The 25,721-nt window shown below is 47.2% G+C and overlaps 1 long non-coding RNA gene across 5 annotated transcripts in view, besides 1 other annotated feature; it reads right to left on the minus strand.

The window, feature by feature from the left end:
* The window catches only part of LINC00673 (long intergenic non-protein coding RNA 673), a 189,483-nt gene that overhangs the window by 120,832 nt on the left and 42,930 nt on the right, over positions 1–25,721 (minus strand). The window lies entirely within an intron of this gene.
* Positions 16,200–16,449: a silencer, noted in NCBI's record as "silent region_8915". NCBI's record gives its function as "represses an Ori minimal core promoter by ATAC-STARR-seq in GM12878 lymphoblastoid cells {active_cell/tissue: GM12878}" and the evidence as "EXISTENCE:reporter gene assay evidence [ECO:0000049][PMID:35858748]".

The following is a 25,721-nucleotide window of genomic DNA, read 5'->3' on the forward strand; positions in this document are numbered from 1 at the left end:
ATCCTGGCTAAGACGGTGAAACCCTGTCTCTACTAAAAAAAAAAAAAAAAATTAGCCGGGCGTGGTGGCAGGTGCCTGTAGTCCCAGCTCCTCGGGAGGCTGAGGCAGGAGAATGGCATGAACCCGGGAGGCAGAGCTTGCAGTGAGCCGAGATTGCACCGCTGCACTCCAGCCTGGGCGACAGAGCGAGACTCCATCTCAAAAAAAAAAAAAAAAAAAAAAAAAAAAGGATGGATATTCTGATATATGCTACAATGTGGATGAACCTTGAGGATGTTAAACTAAGTGAAATAAGCCAGTCACAAAGGACAAATACTATATAATATCTTTCATATGAGGCACATAGAACAGTCAGAGTTGCAGAGATGAAAAGCAGAATGATGGTTTCCAGGGGCTGGGGAGAAAAGAGAATGGGAAATGATTGTTTCATGGGGATAGAGTTTCAGTTTTGCAAGATAAAAAAGTTTTGTGGATGGATGGTGATGATGGTTGTGCAACAGTATAAATGTGCTTTGTGCCACTGAACTGTACACTTAAACCTGGTTAACATGGGGGCCAGGCATGGTGGTTCACACCTGTCATCCCAGCACTTGAGGAGGCCTAGGCAGGAGAATTGTCTGAGCCCAGGAATTCAAGACTAGCCTGGGCAACATGGTGAGACCCCCTCTATTTAAAAAAAAAAAAAAAAAAAGCCAGGCGCGGTGGCTCATGCCTATAATCCCAGCACTTCGGGAGGCTGAGGCAGGTGGATCACGAGGTCAGGAGATGGAGACCATCCTGGCCAACATGGTGAAACCCTGTCTCTACTAAAAATACAAAAATTACCCAGGCGTGGTGGTGCACGCCTGTAGTCCCAAGTACTTGGGAGGCTGAGGCAGGAGAATTACTTGAACCCGGGAGGCAGAGGTTGCAGCCAAAATCACGCCACTGCACTCCAGCCTGGGCGATAGAGCGAGACTCCCTCTCAGACAAAAAAAAAAAAAAAAAAAAAAGGTTAAAATGGTAAATTTTATGTTATGTATATTTTACCACAATTAAGAGTAAATAAATGTTTTAATCCACCTTCTTCCCAATATGGTGAGAAGCAGAAAGAGACTCCTTCAATAGATACCATTTCAAAGTTATGCTGCCTCTCAGTCCATAGCCCTAGGAACCCAAACAAAAAGACAAGGGGTCAACATAAAGGGCATTCAGGGGTCCCCAGCGGGCCTCCCCAGCATCCTGGGACTCTACTTCCTCCAGGGGAAGGTAAATAAAATCAGCTGATCAACCAATCAGCTCACTGGAAAGCAGGAAACAGAAGGACTCTCTAAAATCAGCCCAGATTGCTACACAGGAATTGTCCAAAGTCCAAAAAGTTGCCACTCTTTAAAGGAGGCAGAGGAGAATACATAAAAACCAAGAAGGAAGAAACAATAAAGGTGAGGTAGAGAAGGACTCCAATGCAACCAAAAAGAAGGCTTCTAGCCTGAGACCTGGCTACCAGGGGCAGAACCCAGGTCGGAGGCTTCTCTGGCATTTTCTTTCCTGCTGGGTAGGCAGGAGTTCTCTCCAGAGGAACACATAGCTTTAGCCCCTCTTTGAAAAATTTGCTCCAAGAAAAAGAAAACACGTTTAACCAGAGATACAGGATAGAAAGGGCGGCCAGCTCTTAAAACATGGGCCATAAATGTGCTTGGAGGTTGGTTTTGCCCTTAAAGGAAATAAAATTTATGGTTTGTCAGATAACTAGAAAGAAAAGCCCTCAGAGTGGAAATCTGGCCAGATAAAAGTCTACGAATGAATAGGAAGTTTTCTTAAAATGCAGTGCTTAAATATTTCAGTGAGAAAAAGATCTTAGGATCTACCAAGTTGGTTTTTGTTTTTCTTTTTCTTTTTCTTTTTTTTTTTTTTGAGACAGTCTCACTCTGTTGCCCAGGCTGGAGTCCAGCAGCGCAATCTCAGCTCACTGCAACCTCTGCCTCCTGGGTTCAAGCAATTCTCCTGCCTCAGCCTCCCAAGCAGCTTGGATTACAGGCATGTGCCACCACGCTCAGCTAATTTTTGTATTTTTAGTAGAGACAGCGTTTCGCCATGTTGGCCAGGTTGATCTCGAACTCCTGGCCTCAAGTGATCCACCTGCCTCAGCCTCCCAAAGTGCCGGGATTACAGGTGTGAACCACCATGCCTGCCCAGCATTTTTAACTCAAACCAAACCTAGAAAAACCTCCACAAGCAAATATCCCTTCTTTTCTTGTCACGTGGGCTTGTCTTTGACCCTTAGCTGTGGGAGAGTAAACCTTCCCTTTACAATATTAACAATCTCCATATTGTGGTTACCTAGGGGAGAAGGCGGGAGGGAACTGCTGACTGACAGGTGACAAGATGGCAGCTTCCAGACTGACGGCAATGTTCAATGGTATCCTGGTTTGGATGGTGGTTCCGTGGATGTGTACATACGTAAAAATTCATTGAGCTGTCCCTAAGATTTGTGTACTTTATAAACATTATTCTTCAGCAAAAAGCGCACACATACATACATACATACATAATTTTTAAATTGCCACAGGTTTATGTTGTGCCCAACTGGAGCCAAGTTGGTTGTAAAAAGGGGCCCCAATCACAGTGAGTTCATTCACCTGCACTCCCACCTCCTCTCCGAATCCGCCACACGGTTATGGAAGCTGGCTCCACCGACGAGCCCTCTGGATAAAGGAGAATAATGGAAACTCAGTCCGAGGAGCTTATTTCCCGTTTGGAGGGGTTTTGCAAGGCAGCAGATTGAAACTAATGACAAAAGTAACTGAGATTCTTGCCAATCAAGCTCTCCCTGAATCGTGCTGAAATCTGTCACTCAAGAGCTTCTATGAGGTTGTCTCATTCCTGCATTACAGAATAACATGGAACAAAGATTCTCTTGCCATGGCAGCCTTTCAGACACCAAAATTAGTTGTTATTCTCAGTCACCTCTCATCCAGGCTATTCATTCATTCAACACACAAGATTTATCAAATCTGACAACTATTTCTACATAGTATGGTTTTCAGATCCTCTCACTGTCCTGGCTCCATATATGCCCTTTTTTATAAGGGCACTGTTGCATTGGTGAGGACACCACCCTCATGACCCAATTGCCTCCCAGAGGCCACATCTCCTAATACCATCACATTGGGGATTAGGTTTTAAGGCATGAGTTTTGGGGGAGACATAAACATTCAGACCATAGCATTGAGCAACTGTAAAGAACTATTAAAAGTGTGCGCGGCCAGGCGTAGTGGCTCATGCCTTTAATCCCAGCACTTTGGGAGGCCGAGGTGGGCAGATCACCTGAGGTCAGGAGTTCGAGACCAGCCTGACCAACATGGAGAAACCCCCTCTCCACTAAAAATACAAAAAATTAGCCAGGCCTGATGGTGCATGCCTGTAATCCCAGCTATTCGGGAGGCTGAGGCAGGAGAATCACTTGAACCCGGGAGGTGGAGGTTGCAGTGAGCCGAGATCACGCCACTGCACTCCAGCCTGGGCAACAAGAGTGAAACTCATCTCAAAAAAAGAAAAGAAAAAAGAAAAAAAAGTGTGAGCAAGGTAAGCAGATACCCCTTCTCCATCCTATCAATGTCACCACCATCCTCCTGCCACTCAATTAGGAAGTGTCTTCTCAGCCTTGTCCACTCTCCTCCTCCTCCCCTCTCCCTGTAGTCCCCACTGGTCTTGTTCCTTCTTCCTGTAAGGAATTTAACACTTTCATTTATGGAGTCATCATCCTTGGGATGGGTCGCCGCCAGCCCTTGGGGCATTGCAAGCTCGTGTCTGATACAGATTCCCAGCTCTGGCTCGTGACTGACAGGGTCAGAGTCTGGGATGAGGTTCAGAGTTGGTGCTGTGAGTAGGCACCGAGAGGAAACGCGGGCTAGGGCTGGCACTGCTGTTAGAGGCTGCCAGGTCTCACTGGGCAGCTTGACTCGCCATTCTAACCTGTGAGGTGCTCCCATCTCCTCGTTTCTCCCACCCCATGTCCACCTCCCTGGAAGGCACCAGCCTTGTTGCATAAAGGGAGCACGATGCTGCAAGCTTAGTGCTCCAGGACGTGGGTTCCTACTAAGCTCTCCTCATGCCGCACTCCATTTTCTCATCATCTCTGACTGCCCCTCACCACCTATCATGCTATTCATTCATTCATTCTGTGCCTCTTCAGCTCAGAGACATTCATCTGGTCTTCTCTGCCGCCTCTTCCCTGCATGCCACCCTGAACCCCAGCGAGGTTTTCAAATGGTTTCCTGGCTGTTACCACCCCAGACAACTCATGGAGAAGCAGCCATCTCAATTCTCCGCCTGTCCCCGGGGTGGCCACTCTCCTGGAGGCTACAACCTGGACCTTTCTGTCAAGGCCAGTCTCCTTCTTGTCACCTCATGTTGTCCCTGGCCCCATGGTTCACCCGCATCATCCCTCCTCCTTGGAGACCTGATACAGCCCACACCAGCCACCCATCAGCTGGTGATGCCCTCCTTGTATGCCCATAGCATCCCCCGGGGCCATTCTCGACTCACACTGCATGCTGTCTCTCCCAGCACTACCTAGAGGCTTCTACTCTGCCCCCATGACAACCATCATCCCAATAATAGCTGATACACACTGAGTGCACAGAAGTACCAGACACTGTCCCAAACATCAATTAATTCTTAACTCATTTAATTCTCTGCAGTGTATGTGCTCATTATTTTTAGTCTGCCCATTTTACAGATGAGGAAACTGAGGCACAGAGAGGTTCAGTAACTTGCCTAAAGGTACATGGCTAAATGTCTAGATGGTCAACTCCTTGAGGAGTACGGTGTATGTGTGTATGGGTGTGGGTGTATGTGTCTTCTGACTTTTCCAGGTATCTTCTATAATATTTCATTCATTCAATCGGCATTCATTCAACTTCTTTTTTAGTATTTATTCTTGTTTGAAGGATGGAAAATAACAATGGATAGATGTAGGCTTGCAGTGTACCATCCTGGGTTATTACCCCTGGCTCTGTTTCAGTCTAGGTGACGCTGATGACTTTTTCACTCTCCTGGAAGCCTATTATAAATGGTGATGACGTGGCCTACCTCTCAGGTTGCCCTGGTATCCCCATACCTGCTCACCAAGCTCACTCCCAACTCCAACCCCCCACCCCCCTACACACACACAGGCCTTCCGCTAGCCTTATAAACCGACAAGTATCATCCATAAGGAAACTACATAAAAAGATCAATAGTCTGTCTTTGAGGCCTATACCACATTACCTTGCAACATCAAAATCAGGGTTTATCCTTAAAGTTAGCACAAGGAAAAGACACCCACTGGGGAAAGGGAGGCCCAGGGGTAGCCCTGGAGCTGGGACCAGGATATCCCCAGGCCTAACGCACTGTCTCCCCTGCTAACCACAAGATGGCATGGTGCAGAAACCCAGAGAGCAAAGGTGCCAGGCTCTTCCCGGAGCTGCTATTTCTCCTAAAGACTTGGTCTCCAAAGGAGATCTGCACGCCTCATTTGTTGCACAAAATAGAAAGAGCAGCCCTCATGTTTCAGTCTAAGGCATTCATTTGCGGTTTTTATTTATAGTCCTGCATATATTTGTGCACACATAGATACACCAGCCAGGAAGTGCAGGTCCAGGTACACACTTACACACACACACACACACACACACTCTCTCTCTCTCTCTCTCTCTCGGAAAATCAAGATTTATTTGTATGTACATACAGCCCAGTTAAAGATAAGTCCATTCACAGTCCCTAAAAGAAAAAAAACTATTAAGCTTCACATTTTCAATTCCAAAACCACTCTAAAAATAAACCGCTCATCAACTCAATCGACTTTCAAAGTCACACAAATTAGTGTGGATAGTAAAAATTCTAATAGCTTACTCCTTTTGCTCTTAATTAACCTAAGAATTTGGAAAATGGAGGGAAAACAAGAGAACATCCAGCCTCAAAAATTTGTTCCCGAAGCAGCCTTTCTCTAAAAGTATGACAGTATCTCTCTTGGTCTCTGCTCTGTTATTTAGGAATCGCCTGCAATCCATGCAACCCACTAAGTGAAAATTCAACCACTTGGTAGTTCGTGCATCTTGTTCAGATAACCTCGCAGGAGAGGGGATGAGGGACAGACAAAATATTCCTAATGATATGATGGATTTATTGCTGTAGACCCAGAGGCATCAGAATATGCCAAGAGATGCACCAGATTAGATGGTCCTTTGTACTTCAAAATATCACCTCCCCGCTAGCCCAAAGAAAATCCACAGAAAACAAACACCATTGATATTCAAGTAACTGTCTCTCCACATATTTGTTTCTTTCTTCATTTTGATGATCTTCCAGTACATCACCTCCTGGCCTCTCCCTTCTTCCTATCTCTGTCCTTACAAAAGAAACGCCAAGTCCTCTCCTTCCGCCCACATACCAACTTTATGAAAAAATCCCTGGCTGGAGCTATCTGGGGCACATAATCTAAGAACAAAGCCTGCAATAATGTTGCAGGTTGCAGCCCATGCTTTATCCAAAGGGTGGGAACATTTCTGTTGAGCACACAGAGGCCAACCGGGAGAAAAAGAAAATGCCATCTGGCTGGCAAGGGTTTATGTCTGTACCCACAGCTTAACAGAGGGGAAGCCAGCAAAGGGAGTACCCTTTGTAATTTCTTGAGGGATATTTGAGTTTAGAACAAGAGGGCAGTAAAACAAGAGTCTGCAATGCTATCATTTCATGGTGGAAGAGGTTGCAGCATTCCCAGGAATTTTGAGCATGAATAAAGGACACTTCCAAGAAATTTCCAGGCTGGGAAGAAATGTCCAGGCCAAAGCTCTAGAGCTCTCGGGAGTATAAGCTCACTTCTGTGTCAGAACTGTCCCCAGCCCGGGCGTGGTGGCTCAAGCCTGTAATTCTAGCACTTTGGGAGGCCGAAGCAGGCAGATCACGAGGTCAGGAGTTCAAGACCAGCCTGGCCAACGTAGTGAAACCACATCTCTACTGAAAATACAAAAATGAGCCAGGTGTGGTGGTGCATGCCTGTAGTCCCAGCTACTCGGGAGGCTGAGGCAGGAGAATGGCTTGAATTCGGTAGGCGGAGGTTGCAGTGAGCCAAGATCGCGCCACTGCACTCCAGCCTGGGCAACAGAGCAAGACTCCGTCTCAAAAACAAAAACAAACACAAACCATCCTCAGAGGGTGTTTCATGTTAAAATTTGAAGAGCATTTCAAGGAAGACAATGACGTAGGCATCTTGGTTAGAAATCTCACCCTCAGCCTCCCCTTTAAAAATCACCCACCCTGGCCTCCTCCATCCCTCAATACCATTCCCAATAAAGCAACCGCTATAGACTCCCAGATATGTAGCCAAATTCCTTCTGAGGGGTCATTAGCCTAAACGCAGCATACATAAAAACACAGCAGGCATGAAAAGTAATTTAAAAAAAACAAATGCCCTTCTAACACCAAACACACTGGTTATCCTAATAATTCCATGTCTCCGAAACTCAAATTCCAGCCATCAATTCAATCCACACTAAATGACAATCACTCTCAAAACATATCATATCAGTTCAAAGTAACAATTATATATGTCCACAATAATATCCAAAGTGCCACCAAAACCATGTTAATGTCAAGTTTTCCTTTAACTATTGTCATCATAGAGTTTCTCCTTTTATCATGAAGAAATACGGAATTAAAGATATGAAATGAAAAAAAGGAACATTCTGGCCGGGGAGAAGAGGGAAGTGACGTTATTGGTAATCAGAAAGATAGTAAGCGCTAACATTTTTTTGAGCGCTACTTCCTGACACTGAGCAATGCATTTTACATGCACTATCTCATATCTCCTTCCCCCACAGCCTCTGAGGGATGTACAATGAGGCCCATCTTACAGATGAGGAAACTGAGGTTCTTAACAGTGAAATAATCCCAGTGTCAGCATGGAAGGTGAAATAAATAAGACAGAAGAGATTAAGAGAGACCGATTGCAACAGCCTAAGAAATAAATCATCTGATCGAAGCTAAGGAAGTTGCAGATGACAGGACTGAACAGAATTTAAATGCAGAGGATGAGAGAAAGCGGAGAGTTAAGACGATTGTGTGTTGTTGTGGTTTTTTTTTTTAACTTTGAGGGGTTTATTTTTTGAGATGGAGTCTCACTTTGTCACCCAGGCTGGAGTTCAGTGGTGCGATCTTGGCTCACTGCAAACTCTGCCTCCCGGGTTCAAGCAATTCTCCTGCCTCAGCCTCCCGAGAAGCTGGGACAACAGGTATGTACCAACATGCCCAGCTAATTTTTGTATTTTTAATAGAGGCGAGGTTTCCCCGTGTTGACCGGCTGGTCTCTAACTCCTGACCTCAAGTAATCCACCCACCTCGGCCTCCCAAAGTGCTGGGATTACAGGGGTGAGCCACCGCGCCCAGCCGAGACAATTATGTTTGGACTGCTGTATAGAAATTGGTAACAGAAACATAGGTTTGAATAACACGGGCAGTAATTTAGTTTCAGAACTGCTGAACTCGAGGAACCATGGGCCCGCAGGCAGGGACAGCTACTAGGCATTAAATGGTACCCACAAGCCTTTCCCAAACTCGTGTACCACTACAGAGTTCATCACGTATCAAAACAAATCCATCTGTAACAGTCAAGTTTTAACCCTTTTGGGATGTTTTCCTACCAACCAGCCTGAAAGCAAATCAAAAGTATAGTTTTGCCTCTTCGAGACCAGCCTGGCCAACATGGTGAAACCCCGTCTCTACTAAAAATACAAAAATTAGCCAGGCATGGTGGCGTGCACCTGTAATCCCAGCTACTCGGGAGGCTGAGGTAGGAGAATAGCTTGAACCTGGGAGGCGGAGGTTGCAGTGCGCTGAGATCATGCCACTGCACTCCAGCCTGGGACAGAGCGAGACTCCATCTCAAAAAAATTTAAAAAAAAGGTATACTTTTGCCTCTGAGATAGATTGTGACAAAGGCAAGCCCTAACATCACCCCATAACTCTACGGCCTTCTCATCCAATGTCCTGGGACACAGTGCTTAGCTTCCAATGCCAGGATTTCTCCAATCCCATTCATATCCCGGCCTTTAGCAAGCAGAAAAGCCAAACAGAAGAGGCCCAAAACAGTCCTTCCTCCTCGGGAGTGGCCTGAAGGAGGCATTGGACGAGTCTCACCTGACAAGACCAAGGCAGCTTTCTCCTCCCTTTGGCCTGAAGAGAAGTGGCTGAAAAATTATCTGCACAGGAAGAAAACAGGGCGGTCTGAATGCCAATTCTTGAACAATTCCACTTAAAGAATCAAAGTCCTCCACAAACACCCACTGTACAATATGCTACTGGATTCTGCAGGAAAGCTTTCTGTGGGACCATCCTGGGGCTACTCAATGCCCACCAAATCCACAGCCGGTAGCCCAGCAGAAAAGAGGTCTCTTAAAATCTCCCATTTTGGGCCAGGCACAGTGGCCCACGCCTGTAGTGCCAGCACTTTGGGAGGCCAAGGTGGGCAGATCACGAGGTCAGGAGATCGAGATTGTTCTGGCCAACATGGTGAAACCCCGTCTCCACTAAAAATACAAAAATTAGCTGGCTGTGGTGGCTAGCGCCTGTAATCCCAGCTACTCCAGAGGCTGAGGCAGGAGAATCACTTGAACCCAGGAGGCGGAGGTTGCAGTGAGCCAAGATTGCGCCACTGCACTCCAGCCTGGTGACAGAGCGAGACTCTGTCTCAAATAAATAAATAAATAAATAAATGCCCCATTTTGAAGGGCAATAAAACTCCATGTGGAATGCCCCAACAAGACACAAATTCAGTTATATCCCAGGTCAGCGCACGTCCTCACCATGAGCAAATGGTGGACAGTATATGCCTAAGACCAGCGGCTCCCCTGGCCACTCCTGACAAGCACCACACAGGGCTCCCCAGCTACAGCTGCAGCTTCCCTACTAGAAAGGAGAAAATAAACTGTTTAGACCCAGATACCTAACTCTTTGGCCCCTTCCACATCCATCTCCTGCAAAAGTTTATCATATCACAAACAGGCAGAGACAGCCATGCAAACCAAATAGTCCACATGAGCACCTATGCTTCCTGGCCCTCTTAGATGACAGGGCCGTACACCCAGCACATTGTGGACAATGGGCTGTGAGCAGTTCTCCCGTCTCTCCCTGCTGCAATAACCCTGAATCATAGGTTCAGATGGAGGTGGTATAAAATGGAGCCACTGTCATCCTAATTTCCTGAAGCACAGCCTCCCTCCTCCACAACCCATATTATGCATATAACACGAATGAGGAAGCAACCTTTGTTTTAAGCCAGTGACATTTGGGGATGTTTGTTACTGCAGCATAGTTTAAACTATCCTGACTAATATACTCACTATCTAAGACCCTTGAGAGAAATTTCTTTTTTCATTCCTTCTCTCATTAAAATAAGGCTGACATCTTTTAGCACTCTATTCAAGATTCTTCTTAATTTGTCCTTGACATAAAAAAGCCACTGTTCCAGCAGACACCCAACTTCCAAGATTCCTATACAGATCCTTTCATGCCTCTGTGCCTCTGCATATGCTGTTCCCTCTCCCTGGGATACCCTTCCCCACTCTCCCACCCTGCAATGCTCTTTGAACCCCTCATCCTTCAATGTCCATTGAATGTCTCTCACAAAGCCTCCCTACCAGCCTCAGACGGACTGAGCCACACATCCCTCAGGGTATCCCTAACAGTCAACTTCTCTTCAGCCATGGATCACGTACTATTATAATTACTTGTTGACAAGTCTGTCTGCTCACTGTATGGGAACTGTCGGTGAGGGCATTTGTCTACCTGTATCTTTTTATCCCCAGCACAGAGCACAGTGCCAGGTTAATAGTACATGCTCCACAAATATTTGTTGAATAAATGAACAAATGAATAAATTTCTCCCATGAAGATCTACAGATAAGAGGTCTTAAATAAAAACATCATATACATATATCAAAATTTATTTCAGGTACAGATGTTTACAAGTAGAAGACACACATCTCAACCACAGGGCAGCTGGAGGGGACAAATGTTCAGCCCATAATTTACTTAAGCAAATGTATCCACTGTCCTTTTTGCCCACGCAAGCAAACAACTATGTTGCTTCTCACTCTATTTTCAGAAAGTGAGTTTCTAAAAATCTCAGGAAAAGGTGGGGGTGCAGGCCTAACTATGTTCACCTAAGGCTTAGGCCTAAACCCAAGCAGGTTCATCTTGGTCTTTTGTCCATCAATCCAAGGAAAGATTCCTCAGCTGCTTCCCAATCAGGAGAAAAAGCTGCTGTCTGCGTGATATAATAACAACCCCAGGCCAAGCCGACAGGGTGGGAGAAGAAGGGCTAAAGTGTGTTCAGACCAAGGACAGTGAGCTCCCCTTGTTTGCTCCATCCAGAGATGAATGAACAGGAACTTGCACGTGGCTGTCATCCTGTAGTCAGGGGGTGGTCACCTGGATGCCCTTCTGCTTGGAAATCCTACTGGGGACACAGAAACCTCAGAGGGGTCTGTCCACAGCACAACCTTGTCCAGCTGATTCTTCAACAACTGCCAGACAATAGAGGTCAAATCTCAGAAGAAAGCTACGATCTCCTCCAGCCTCTCTGTCTAGAGAGCTCTTCAAACCCCCCAGGGCATCCCCAGGCAGCCTCAGGGAGCAGGGCAGGTGGGCTGTCTCTGCCACTCCAATGGGGCATCTTCAGCTGGGTCAGGCTCACAAAAGGGCAGACAGCAAGTCAGTCATTTGGTTTCATTGAGACATGCCTGCGTGCTATCCTACCCTTCCCCTGAGTGGTGGCTTTTTATGCCTCCAGAGCTTGGTGTCACGTGGAGCCAGGCGGGAAGTGCACTCACTAGCTGGGGAGGCAGGCAGACCTGGTCAGGTCGCCAGCTTTGCTACCAATAACCTGCGTGACTTCAGCCATGTAGCTTAACCTCTCTGAACATGTTTCTTCATTCATAAGATATAAATGATACCTCCCTTCCAGAATTGTGGAAGGTGCTGAACACATGTGCAGAATACTCTCTGGGCATAGTAGGCGGTCAATACATGGAAACTAGTGTTTACATTGTATGTTCTCACAATACACTCCGAAGGCAGGGTCTTCCATGGTTCCCTATGAAGGGCTGTTCTCAGCGCAGGCTTGTCACAAACAGGATGATCAGGAATACTTTGCCCTATCTGCAGGCAGGATGTACATATGATGACACACTTCCAAGCATGCAGGGAGGTCTCAGCACAGACTCCTGCCTGTGACGGTGGGGCTCACGCAGCCTGTCGCTCAGTCTCACCTGAGACAGTAATTGCCCCGATACATCAATACATGCCAAGGTCCTCCCAGGACCGTCTTCATCAAGCTTCCCCGCTTGATGAAATACGTCATATCAATATCCCTACGGAGTTATTTTTAGAGCTCAATGAAGGGCCGGTATCTCCTGTCCTGGCAATAAATACACAAGCCAGCCACCAGCATAATAAGACTTAGGGTAACACCACCACTTACTGAGGACAGATCTTCTGTGGGGACATTGGGGGAGGACGGGGTCTGTGAGATTTCCGGGTAACCTCACCTTGGATGGAACATGGGTCATCTCCATCTGCCTGGGGTCACTTCTGGCTTTCACAGGCTATGACTGGCACCCATCTCGACTGGCGGTCTACTCCTTAACAACTTCTGTGTGTGTGTGTGTGTGTGTGTGTGTGTGAAGTCTTCCAAAATTGTGCTGTCACGCTTTGTGCAGCCTAGAAGATGTCTCAGTGAGCAAATCCTAAGGACAGCAGCCCTGCAATGAAGTCAGCCAGACTTAAAGAGGAAATAGATGGCTGACAGCTGACAGCTGTCCATCACAAAGTCCATCCCTACAGACATCAGGCCCAGTAGAAAGTAAATGCTGTCACCATAGCAAAATCAGGTCCCAGGTTTGCTGCGTGACAGCCTTCCCGTTGCCGCCACCCGGCAGCAATCCTTCATCACCATCTTCACCCTCTTCAACATGGAAAGGGCCGGAGGAGCCCTGCTGCTCCCCGGCTGATGGATGAGACTTTCATTGAAACTCACTCTCACCCAAGTGTCACCTCAGCCATTGCCCTGCTAAGCCTCGCCCCCCGAGTGTCCAGTGAAAGGCTCTTTTCTTCTTTAAAGGAATCTGGGGAACTGAAGCGGCATCCAGACAGAAGCACTTAGGTGGGGGGCCTAAGAAGTCACCCCAGATCTTCCCACCTGCCTCGGCAGCTGTCTCCTCCTTTTCTCTCCACTCCACCCCCAGCCCCGCCTTCCTGGGGGGTACTGTCTTCTGTATCACCCCCATCGGATGCCCTGAGTCACATCTTCTAGCTCCTGTGTTCTCTCCACCTCCAGCAGTGAGGATTCTACACACATGTGCACACATACATGCACACACAAGCACCCGCAAAACATACATCCTTCAAAGGAATGTTCTTTTTTTCTTTTTTTTTTTTTTTTTTTTTTTTTAGCAGAGCCTCCCTTTGTACCCCAGGCTGGAGTGCAGTAGTGTGATCTCAGCTCACTGCAAGCTCCGCCTCCCGGGTTCAAGCAATTCTCCTGCCTTCGCCTCCCAAGTAGCTGGGATTACAGGCACCTGCCACCACACCCAGCTAACTTTTGTATTTTTATAGAGATGGGGTTTTGTCACATTGGCCAGGCTGGTCTTGAACTTCTGACCTCAGGTGATCCGCCCACCTTGCCCTCTCAAAGTGCTGGGATTACAGGCGTGAGCCACCGCACCTGGCCAATGTTCTTTATGAGTAGAGACAAGACGTGGTAGACACCTTTTTTCTCATGTCTCATGACCACGATTATGAAGATTCATTCTTGAATACTCCTTGAATATCCTTTGTTCAAAACTCCAAGGTTGTTTCTTGTGCAGTTTCTGAGATGGGAAATCCATCCCATGACTTCAACAGGAGGAGATCCATGAAGCTCTAAATTGGAGATGCTGAGGCAAGCGAGGGGGGAACTGCCATTTGATAGGATGCCCCTGGGGCAGGGGAGGGTGATGGAAAGGGTGATGGGGGCCTGGAGAGACAGCCAGTTAGCAAAATGGTTAAGAGTTAAGCTCTGGGGTTCAAATTCTTGCTCTAACGCTTGACATCGGGGTGACTTTGGGCAAAGTACCGTGACTTCCCTGGGTCTCAGTTCCTCACCACAAAAATATAGCAACACCTGTGCTGTTGGGGTCTTGGGTGGATTAACTGGAATGATCTGGACAGAGCCCTTGGCACAGTATTTGGCTCATAAGCAGCATTTAATAACTTTCTAGCTTCTAAGAAATTACCACCCAATATACAAAAATCAACACAAAATGGATCCAAAATTTAAGCTTAAGAAAAAAAAGAAATTACCCTCCATTATCTCAACTAGACTTTACATCAACCCTATGACTTGGTAGGTATTTGCCCCATTTTACAGATAAGAAAACTGAGGCACAGAGTGTCCTGTGCATCCCCCAAGATCACAAAGCCAGGTAAGGGCAGAGCCAAGGTTTGAGCCCTGGCAGCTGTGGCTGCAGAGCGATGGGCCCACCGCTCTGTTCTGGGGCCTACCCCCGGCACAGCAGACCTGAACGTCCAGGCCTTTCCAGGGCTAGCACAGAGCCTGCATAGCTGCAGTGACTACAGTAGCTGTTTCCTTTGTCCTCGTCCCCTGCAGTTTCTTTCCAGAGTCCCAAGAAGCCACACAACCCTTCAGGAGGAGATTAGCAGCAGCAGAAAACAGAAATAAGAGAAAGTTAGTTTTCTTTTTCTGGGCTAGAGGTGCCCTGCTGCGCTGGAGAGAAACTGGGAGGAGGGAAAGCTAATGCCAGCCCCAGCCCGGTTTCTGCCCGCTGCCCTTTGCAGCTCTAGGTGGAAGCACAAGCTTGCTAGGCTCGGCACGCTCAGAGCTGCAGGAAGGCGGTCAGCTCTGGCAGCCACACTGCTCCTGTCCCAAAGGGAGGACAGACCTAGAGAAGCGGCCTGATCTGCCTTCTCCACCTCCGAATCCCCCCACCACACCCACACACACACACACACACACACACGCCTTTTGCATTTATCCCGGGGTCCTCCAGAGGGACAAGGAAGGGGCTGATTCAGTGACCCCTGAGCCCCGCCTCTCAGTCCCCAGACTTCAGGCAGCCTGGGAAGCCTCCGACCTACATTCAGATGCCTAGGGGTTCTGGGAGGGGCGCTCAAAGCTCAGAGGCCTGAATTCAGCACCCTGCTCAGGCTCTTTGAGAACCGCTGACTTGAAGTGGGCCTGCTCGCTTTGCTAAACAAATATGGGTAACTCTGGTCTTCCAAAAAGAGCTCACAATTCTGTCCTCCCTGGAAGCTACAATTCAATCATCCTCTTCCAAACGTCCAAATCCCAGCTTCAGTGAGGCTATCTCACACAGCAACCTGCCTGGGAGTGACCTGCATGCAAAACTTCAAGAGTTTGAGGGAAACTTGAGGGAAACTTGCAGAAACCAGCTTGCCAAGGAAAAACGCTCCCAGTGCGTTCAATGAAAAAGCAGGCGACCCAGCTAAATGAGTAAACTGACCCAATCGGGGGGATGAAAGGGAACGTATATCTATGCAATGACAATAAATCGTGGAAAGACATATTAAAATACAAAAGCCATTTCTAGACGCAAAATCATGGATGTGTTTTATTTGCTTCTTTGTGTTTTCTGGTATTTTTACAAAACTGCACTGCAGAATGTTTGGAATCAGATGAAAAGTTCATTTCTGAGAAGCCTCCTTCTTTTCTCTTTTAAATTTTCTTCTTTTGCATTCCATTTTGGCCAGCTCGCTTGAACTCTGCGTTCAAACGCCTTTCTCTCCCAAGCAAAAGCTCCAGGAGGAATCTTCTGGAGCAAAGTTAGAACCGCAGGGAAGCTTGAAAAGAGGAAACAGACCAGCCTGGCCGGTGGAGGTTAAATTAAACTACAGTTCTCTAGCAGGCCTCGGGCTTGGTCAGGAGCTATTGGTAAGACGGCAGAAACGGAGTACAGGCCAATAAACAAATCAAAACAAAAACAAGAAGCAAAGAAAGAAAGAAACATGTTTTAAGAAGAATAAAGTCATTAGGTGGCAAGGGGCCTCTGCAGGACCATCCAGGCCAGGGAGAAAAACACCACCAAGGACCCAAACTTCTTTCACTGGGGAGCTGCAAGCAGGAGGCGCTGGCTCTGAGCAGTGGCTTTGTGCTTCGGGCAGAACCGGCCGCGAGGGCTGCGCCCCACCAGCCGCGCGCCGGGAGGGCGGACGCGCCGGGCACAGCCAGGCGCCGGGGGTGACCGCGGCAGCACCGGCCCGGCGGCTGGAAGCAGACGCGCCGCTCCGCCCGCGCCCGCGCCCGGTGGAGCCACAGCGCCATCAAGTGGCCACTCGGCGAACGGCCGCACGGGGAAGCGGCTCAGGCCCAGGGAAGAGGTCCAGGGTTCCCAGCCGCAACTGTCCCTGGGGAAGGGTCTGGACCTGCCAAGCTGCCACTCCAGGGCCTGAGGCAGGAGCCTGCAGACGGACACCAGCTGTCCAGGCGCACTCCACCACCCAGGGCTGCCCCAGAGGATGTTCGGGAATCCTGTCTCCTCCTTCGGGAGAGAGGTTACTTTTGCAGTCCCAGGCCCATTCTCTTCTCCAGCAACTTGCTCACAGTTTAAAAGGTTTGGTTCTCAGAGAGTGGCGCCAGAGCAAAGGGGGCATCTCGCTGCTCTGGGGCATCCTGCAGGGGATGGCGCAGATCTGGGGTCCATGTCTGTGAGCGGACACCATTGGAACATGTGTCTAGAGAATCTGGGCGGGATCACTGCCCACAGCCCTTCAAGGCCCACAAACCTACAACACATCTCTCCTGGAAACAGCACGTGATCCCATATGCCCCCTGGTCTTTGGGTACAAATTATGGGGTGACTCAAGAAGAGAGCACGTGATATGGTTTGGCTGTTTGTTCCCTCCAAATCTCATACTGAAATGTGATCTCCGGTGTTGGAGGTGGGCCTAGTGGGAGGTGTTCGGATCATGGGGGTGGATTCCTCATGAATGGTTTGGTGCTATCTTCACAGTAACGAGTGAGTTCTCACTAGAACAGTTCATGTGAGCTTGGCATGGTGGCTCACACCTGTAATCCCAGTACTTTGGGAGGCCACGTCAGGTGGATCCCTGGAGGTCAGAAGTTCGAAACCAGCCTGGCCAACATGGTGAAACCCCATCTCTATTAAAAATACAAAAAAATTAGTTGGGCGCGGTGGCACGCACCTGTAGTCCCAGCTACTCGAGAGGCTTGAGGCAGGAGAACTGGTTGAACTTGGGAGATAGAGGTTGCAGTGAGCCAAGACTGTGCCGCTGCACTCTAGCCTGGGTGACAGAGCAAGACTCCATCTCAAAAAAAAAAAAAAAAAAAGAAAGAAAGAAAAGAGTTCATGTGAGATGTGATTGTTTAAAAGGGCCTGGTACCTTCCCCCATCTCTTGCTTTCCCTCTTGCCATGTAACATGCTGGTTCCCGTTTACCTTCTGCCATGATTGGAAGCTTCCTGGGGCCTCACCGGAAGCCAAGCAGATGCCAGGGCCATGCTTCCTGTACAGCCTGCTGAACCCTGAGCCAAATAAACCTCTTTTCATTACAAACTACCTAGGCTCAGATAGTCCTTTATAGCAATGCAAATGGACTAACACACCCCATGATCTCCATCCACAAACCACTGGAGGAACCCAACACAGCAACGGAAAAGTTCTCAGAGCACCAATCAGGAATATGCATATTAATATGAACACTATAACAGGAAATTACAGGAAAAGCATAGAGCGTTTGCTCTGTGCAAAGCACTGTGCGAATTCCTTCTGTACTTTATCTTCTTTAACCTTTACCACGACCTTAGGACATGAGTTTTTTATGATGTTTGTTTGTTTGTTTGTTTGTTTTTTACAGAAAAGGAAATGGAAGCACCCAGAGGTCCAAAAACTCACTCAAGGTTGCCTGGCCTGGAGTCAGAGCCTGAGAGCCAGCTCCTTCACTTACACTCCTTGATCCCATCTTTCCATCCATCCCCCAACCCCCAGCCGTAGGTGGATCCAGGTTTTGTGAGACCTGAAACATACATGTTTTCTAGAGGGAGAGGCAGCCTCTTTAAGATATGAAGTTGTAAATACACAGTTGAGGCCAGTCAGGGAGGGCTGTGTAGGGGAGGGGCTCTGCCTCATCTCCACAGTAGATCCACCCCTGCTCTTTAGACAGCCCCCTGCCCAGGAGCTGGCTTTCTGGAAACACTCCTCCGCATTGCCCCTCACAGCCATTTCTCTGGCTTCTGCAATTGACTTCCACGCCCACCCTGCCCCTGAAACTGCTCTGACTCAAGGTCACTCAATGACAGCCCAACTGCCAGGTACAATGAGAGCTCTCAGTGCTTCCCTCCAAGAGGAATTTGCAGCCCTGACATTTGCACTCCTGGAAGCCTCTTGTCTCCCAGCATCCAGGACACCACGATCCCCTGGCTTCCCTCCTACCGTCCAGCCCCACTTTGTCTGTGTTCCTCATCAGTGGATCTTCTGTGGACTGCTCCTAAAACCCGCAGGTGAGCACAGAACAGGAAAGAGCGTAGCCTCTCAGCCAGCCAGACCCGAGGTTTGGTCCCAGAATCCCAGTTAACAGCCGTGTAACCATCAGCAAACGGGTCACCCTCTCAGAGCCCATTTTTCTCTTCCGTGTAATTGGGGTTGTACATCAGAAGTTATTTAGAAGATTAAATGAGATCCTGTGCTTAGTATGTTTAATAGGATGCCTGCCCCAAAGCAGGGATCCCGGATCACTGCTGAGGGTCCCTGTCAGACTTGAGCTCCAATCCATCAATCTGTCCTGCGCACCAGATTAATATTTCATTGTCTGCAGAATCAGATCACCCAGGATCCCTCTGAGGAATGCATCTTGTCTGAGAGTGCCCTTCCCACCACCATCAAGCCTGCCTTCCTCCCTTTTTTGCCAGTTTCTGAACGACACCACTGGCAATTCAGATTCAGCATCCAGACATCCAGGATTCATTCTGAATCCAGCCTCCCCTGCAGGAAACATGGCCCTGGAATCCATCATCCCCCAAGACTCTCCCTCAGACCCCACCCTCCTCTCCCACGTCGGTCCGGGAGTTCCTGATCTCACTCTTGGGTCCCTGAACAGCCTCCTAAATGCTGGGTGTCTCTCCTGGCCCCGCCTCCCCACTGCCCCCAACCCATCCTCCTCTCCAAAAGAGTGAGCTCCTCAGACACATCTCAGATCATGCAGTTTCTCCATTTAAAACCTTGTGATGTCTTCCCCTTTCCATGGGTATGAAGTTCAAACCATGCCACAAAGCTTGGGGTCATCAGACCCCTGCTGCCCATGTACCCACCTCATCTCCCCTATAACCCCCTGCAGGATTTGCTCAGACATCCCAAACTACCTGCATTCCCCAAAACATGGCACTAGACACCCTCTCCCTTCCATGTCCCCTGTACACATGATGTTCCACCACCTGGAACACTCACCCGTTTCTCTGCTAACCACTTTCAATGGCCAGGATAAATGTCACCTCCTCTTGGAAGCCCTCCAGGATGTCCCCTTATGGTTCAGGATCAATTCTCTGTGCATCCTGTGAGTACTCCAGTCACAGCACTATTTGAACCCTACGATATTAGTATTTATTTTCCTGTCTCCCAGGCTAAGTGGTGCGCTCTTTGAGAGCGCAGATATCTTGAAAAGCAGTAACGTGCAGTGGTCGAAAGAGTGGGTTCTGCTCTTTAGTTTAATTAGATCCCATTTGTCAATTTTGGCTTTTGTTGCCATTGCTTTTGGTGTTTTAGACATGAAGTCCTTGCACATGCCTATGTCCTGAATGGTAATGCCTAGGTTTTCTTCTAGGGTTTTTATGGTTTTAGGTTGAACGTTTAAGTCTTTAATCCATCTTGAATTGATTTTTGTATAAGGTGTAAGGAAGGGATCCAGTTTCAGCTTTCTACATATGGCTAGCCAGTTTTCCCAGCACCATTTATTAAATAGGGAATCCTTTCCCCATTGCTTGTTTTTCTCAGGTTTGTCAAAGATCAGATAGTTGTAGATAAGTGGCGTTATTTCCGAGGGCTCTGTTCTGTTCCATTGATCTATATCTCTGTTTTGGTACCAGTACCATGCTGTTTTGGTTACTGTAGCCTTGTAGTATAGTTTGAAGTCAGGTAGTGTGATGCCTCCAGCTTTGTTCTTTTGCCTTAGGATTGACTTGGCGATGCAGGCTCTTTTTTGGTTCCATATGAACTTTAAGGTAGTTTTGTCCAATTCTGTGAAGAAAGTCATTGGTAGCTTGATGGGGATGGCATTGAACCTGTAAATTACCTTGGGCAGAATGGCCATTTTCATGATATTGATTCTTCCTACCCATGAGCATGGAATGTTTTTCCATTTGTTTGTATCCTCTTTTATTTCCTTGAGCAGTGGTTTGTAGTTCTCCTTGAAGAGGTCCTTCACATCCCTTGTAAGTTGGATTCCTAGGTATTTTATTCTCTTTGAAGCAATTGTGAATGGGAGTTAACTCATGATTTGGCTCTGTGTTTGTCTGTTGTTGGTGTATAAGAATGCTTGTGATTTTTGTACATTGATTTTGTATCCCGAGACTTTGCTGAACAAATGGGATCTAATTAAACTAAAGAGCTTCTGCACAGCAAAAGAAACTACCATCAGAGTGAACAGGCAACCTACAAAATGGGAGAAAATTTTCGCAACCTACTCATCTGACAAAGGGCTAATATCCAGAATCTATGATGAACTCAAACAAATTTACAAGAAAAAAACAAACAACCCCATCAAAAAGTGGGCGAAGGACATGAACAGACACTTCTCAAAAGAAGACATTTATGCAGCCAAAAAATACATGAAAAACTGTTCACCATCACTGGCCATCAGAGAAATGCAAATCAAAACTACAATGAGATACCATCTCACACCAGTTAGAATGGCGATCATTAAAAAGTCAGGAAACAACAGGTGCTGGAGAGGATGTGGAGAAATAGGAACACTTTTACACTGTTGGTGGGACTGTAAACGAGTTCAACCACTGTGGAAGTCAGTGTGGCGATTCCTCAGGGATCTAGAACTAGAAATACCATTTGACCCAGCCATCCCATTACTGGGTATATACCCAAAGGACTATAAATCATGCTGCTATAAAGACACATGCACACGTATGTTTATTGCAGCATTATTCACAATAGCAAAGACTTGGAGCCAACCCAAATGTCCAACAATGATAGACTGGATTAAGAAAATGTGGCATATATACACCATGGAATACTATGCAGCCATAAAAAATGATGAGTTCATGTCCTTTGTAGGGACATGGATGAAATTGGAAATCATCATTCTCAGTAAACTATCGCAAGAACAAAAAACCAAACACCGCATGTTCTCACTCATAGGTGGGAATTGAACAATGAGAACACATGGACACAGGAAGGGGAACATCACACTCTGGGGACTGTTGTGGGTTGGGGGGAGGGGGGAGGGATAGCATTGGGAGATATACCTAATGCTAGATGACGAGTTGGTGGGTGCAGCGCACCAGCATGGCACATGTATACATATGTAACTAACCTGCACATTGTGCACATGTACCCTAAAACTTAAAGTATAATAATAATAAATAAAAAATTAAAAAAAAAAAACTGGGTTCTGGAACCAGACACCCTGGGCACAAATCCCGGCCCTATTTATCCTTTACCAGCTGTGGGTGAAGTTACATCACTTCCGGGTGTCTCCACTTTCTTATCTGTACCATGGGATAATGATGGCATCTCCCTTGGCGGGTGGGGAGGACAAATGACTAAGTACACTGCCTGACATGAGCCAGCGCTGACCAAGAGAGGCTTAATGTGAGCCCCAAAAGTAGTTTTCAGTGTTCTCACAGCCACATAAAAAAGCTAAAAAGAAACAGCTGAAAGTAATTTGAATCATAGAGTCGATTTAACCCAATATATTCCACTGTTCATCATTTCAACAAGCAACCAATATTTTTAAAATTATTCATGAGCTATTCTGTGTTATTTTTTCATACTAAGTCTTTGAAACCCACTATGCATTTTATGCTTGTATCGCATCTCGATTCACACCAGCCACTTCTGAAATAAATGCTCTCAGGCCACGTGTGGCTTGTGGCTGCCGTACTGAGCAGTGTGTGAGGTGTGACTCTGCTGGGAAGAGACTCTCAGGACGTGCACCTGGTCTGCTCCGGACTCTGCCCCGTGCACATTTCCCATTTGCTGAGTTTGCTTTTTTCTTTCTTTTTTTTTGTTTTTGAGATGGAGTCTTGCTGTCTTGCTCTGTCGCCCAGGCTGGAGTGCAGTGGCGCGATCTCGGCTCATTGAAACCTCTGACTCCCGGGTTCAAGTGATTCTCCTGCCTCAGCCTTCCGAGTAGCTGGGACTACAGGCATGTGCCACCATACCCAGCTAATTTTTGTATTTTTAGTAGAGGCGGGGTTTCACCATGTTGGCCAGGATGGTCTCGATCTCTTGACCGCACGATCTGCCCGCCTTGGCCTCCCAAAGTGCTGGGATTACAGGCATAAGCCACTGCACCCGGCCTTTTTTTTTTTTTTTTTTGTCTTGAGACAGGGTCTCGCTCTGTCACCTAGACTGGAGTGCATTGGTGTAATCTCAGCTCACTGCAACTTCTGCCTCCCAGGTTCAAGTGATCCTCCCACCTCAGCCTCCCTAGTAGCTGGGACCACAAGTGTGCACCATCATGCCTAATTTTTGTATTTTTAGTAGAGATGGGGTTTCACCATGTTGGCCAGGTTGATCTCGAACTCCTGACCTCAAGTGATCCTCCCGCCTTGGCCTCCCAAAGTGCTGGGATTACAGGTGTGAGCCACCGCACCCAGCCGAGAAATAAATTTCTGTTATGTATAAACCACCCAGGGACTTTGTTGTCACAGCCCAAATAGCCCAAGAGAGAAATCTTCCCCGAGATCCTCCCTGAGGATGCCAAGGCTGTGAATATTCTTTCTCGGTATTTTGGAATTTGTCAATGTCTAAACTTGCTGGAACTATATCATGGCCTAGGATGCATTCACAGAACTACATTTGATGCTTGTGGACACACATTTTTCTTTTTGGGCTCCTGCCTTCATAAAAGTATTTTTAAATTATATTTTATGACTGCGTTGGTATAAAGACAATATAATGATAATCCGGGCTGGATACATTATTATATATTCTTTATTATTATATTTATTTTTTCTTCCAATTTTAAAGGAAATTAAAACATTTTCATAGGCCCCTAAGTGTTGTGGGCTTGGACACTGTACCCTGCCCAGGTAAGATCACTCGTGGGTAAGAACATGAGGTTCTCACCCGTAAGGCAGGATTTTTATAGAAGGAAGGTAGGTCTTTCAACCTATGTCCTCCTTCTGTTCCACAAAGTGGAAAGCCACAAGCCCTACAAAAGCCTTGCAAGTCCCAGAGGCTGCAGCCGTATTTATTCTTCAGGCCAAGACTCTCAGGACAGAGAGCACCCATGCACCCCGCAGGCTGCAGGCCATCTCCCTGCATTTGGGACTGTCCTGAGGATGGCGGCTTCATTTTTGTCCCTCCTACCTCTGAGTACTCCCCATTCCTTATGTGAAGCTGAGCCTTAACCCGCACCCACTGTATTAGTCCGTTTTCAGGCAGCTGATAAAGACACACCCAAGACTGGGCAATTTACAAAAGAAAGAGGTTTAATGGACTCACAGTTCCACGTGGCTGGGGAGGCCTCACAATCATGGTGGAAGGCTAAAGGCACGTCTCACAGGGTGGCAGATAAGACAATGCGAGCCAAGCGAAAGGGGTTTCCCCTTATAAAACTATCAGATCTTGTGAGACTTATTCACTACCATAAGAACAATATGGGGGAACCACCCCCATGATTCAATTATCTCCAACTGGGTCCCTCCCACAATGCGGGGGAATTATGGGAGCTACAATTTGAGATGAGATTTGGGTGGGGACACAGCCAAACCATATCACCCTTCGAATGTAATAATCCATGAAAATATCTGCCTCCCCCTCCAGCAGAAGCTGAGCCTGAGACAGAGGATTCCCTTTCGATTCATCTCTCTACCTCCCAAGGCCCAGCACATCACTCTAGAAGGGAATTAAATATTTACCACATATTCATTATGACAACCGTCCATTCTAAGTAACTTTACACATGAGGATCCAATGAGCCAACGTAGAGGATTTTAGCACCACAGCCTCAGAAGAGAGCGCTTTTATTTAGTCCCCCCCCAAGAAATAGGTGTTATTTTTTCCATTTCATGGATGACTTACATAATTTGCCCAGGGTCACTCAGGAAGTACATCTTGCTCAAGCCACATTTTTTATATGGCAAATACTAATTACTCCTATTTAAAAACAAACAGGCCAGGCACAATGGCTCACACTTGTAATCCCAACACTTTGGGAGGCTGAGGCTGGATGATCACTCAAGCCTGGAAGGTCGAGGCTGCAGTGAGGTATGATTACACCACTGCACTCCAGCCTGGGAGGCAAAGCAAGACCCTGTCTCAAAAAAAAAATAAAATAATAAAAATAAATTTAAAGCCATCAAAAGGTGAACCTTCAATGTCCAGTCTGGCTACAAAGCATTCCAGAAACGCAGGCACCAAGAGCCATCTATTCAATTGGCTCTGGCCTCAAGGAGTGAGGTGGTCCACAGTATGACCTATAAGGGCCTACAGACAAGGGTTCAGGTCATGGCTAAGGGTGGAATCCTGGAGCCAGGGGCCTGGGTTTGAATCCCAGTGCCACTACTCATTGGTGCTGTGGCCTTGAGAGCTGATTCAACTTCTCTCTACCTCAGTTTCTTCATCTGTAAAATGGGGCTAATATTGCCCACTTTTAACATTGTTGCAAGAATTCAATGAGTCAATACAAATGTAACTGGCAGCCTTCTAAGATGACCCCACTGGTCACCACCTCCTGGCATTCATGCCTTGTATACTCCTCTCCCCTGGAGTGTGGGCTCGACCTAGAAATTAACATGTAACACAGAGAGTAGGACAAATGTGATGAGCTACCACTTTCAAGACTGGCTTATAAAAGGCTGTGATTTCCATCTTGCTGGCCCCTCTTTTCTTTCTTTCTTTCTTTCTTTCTTTCTTTCTCTCTCTCTCTCTCTGACTTTGATGGTGTCTACTGCCACAAGGTGACCTGCCCTATAGAGAGGCCATATACCAGGAACTAGGGCCCCAATCCAATAGACTGCAAGGAACTAAACCTAGCCAACAGCCATTGAGTGAGCCTGGAAGTGGATCCTGCCCCACTAGAGCCTTCAGATGACTGCAGCCCCGGCCACCACCTTCACTGCAGCCTTAGGAGAGACCCCAGGCCAGCAACCCCAACTAAGCCACATCTAGATCCCTGCTCCACAGAAACTGTGAGCTAATAAATGTTGTTGTGAGTTGGTAAGTTCAGGAGTAATTTGTTACACAGCATTAGATAACACATACAACAAGTAAAGCACTAAGAATAGCACCTGGCACACAGCAGGCATTGAAATAGCTGCTGAATGAGTAAATAAAAAGGAAAACAGAACATTAAATTCTAAAGTGATGGCTTACTGCTTTGAATCTCTTTGCAATTAAGGTGGGGTATAAATTAATAACTCTATAAGTAATGACCTCTCCACCAGATCTGAACAACTCCCAACATTAGGACCAGCCTGCCTGGCTGCTTCCACCC

Source organism: Homo sapiens, chromosome 17 (assembly GCF_000001405.40).
Source record: "Homo sapiens chromosome 17, GRCh38.p14 Primary Assembly".
NCBI lineage: Eukaryota > Metazoa > Chordata > Mammalia > Primates > Hominidae > Homo > Homo sapiens.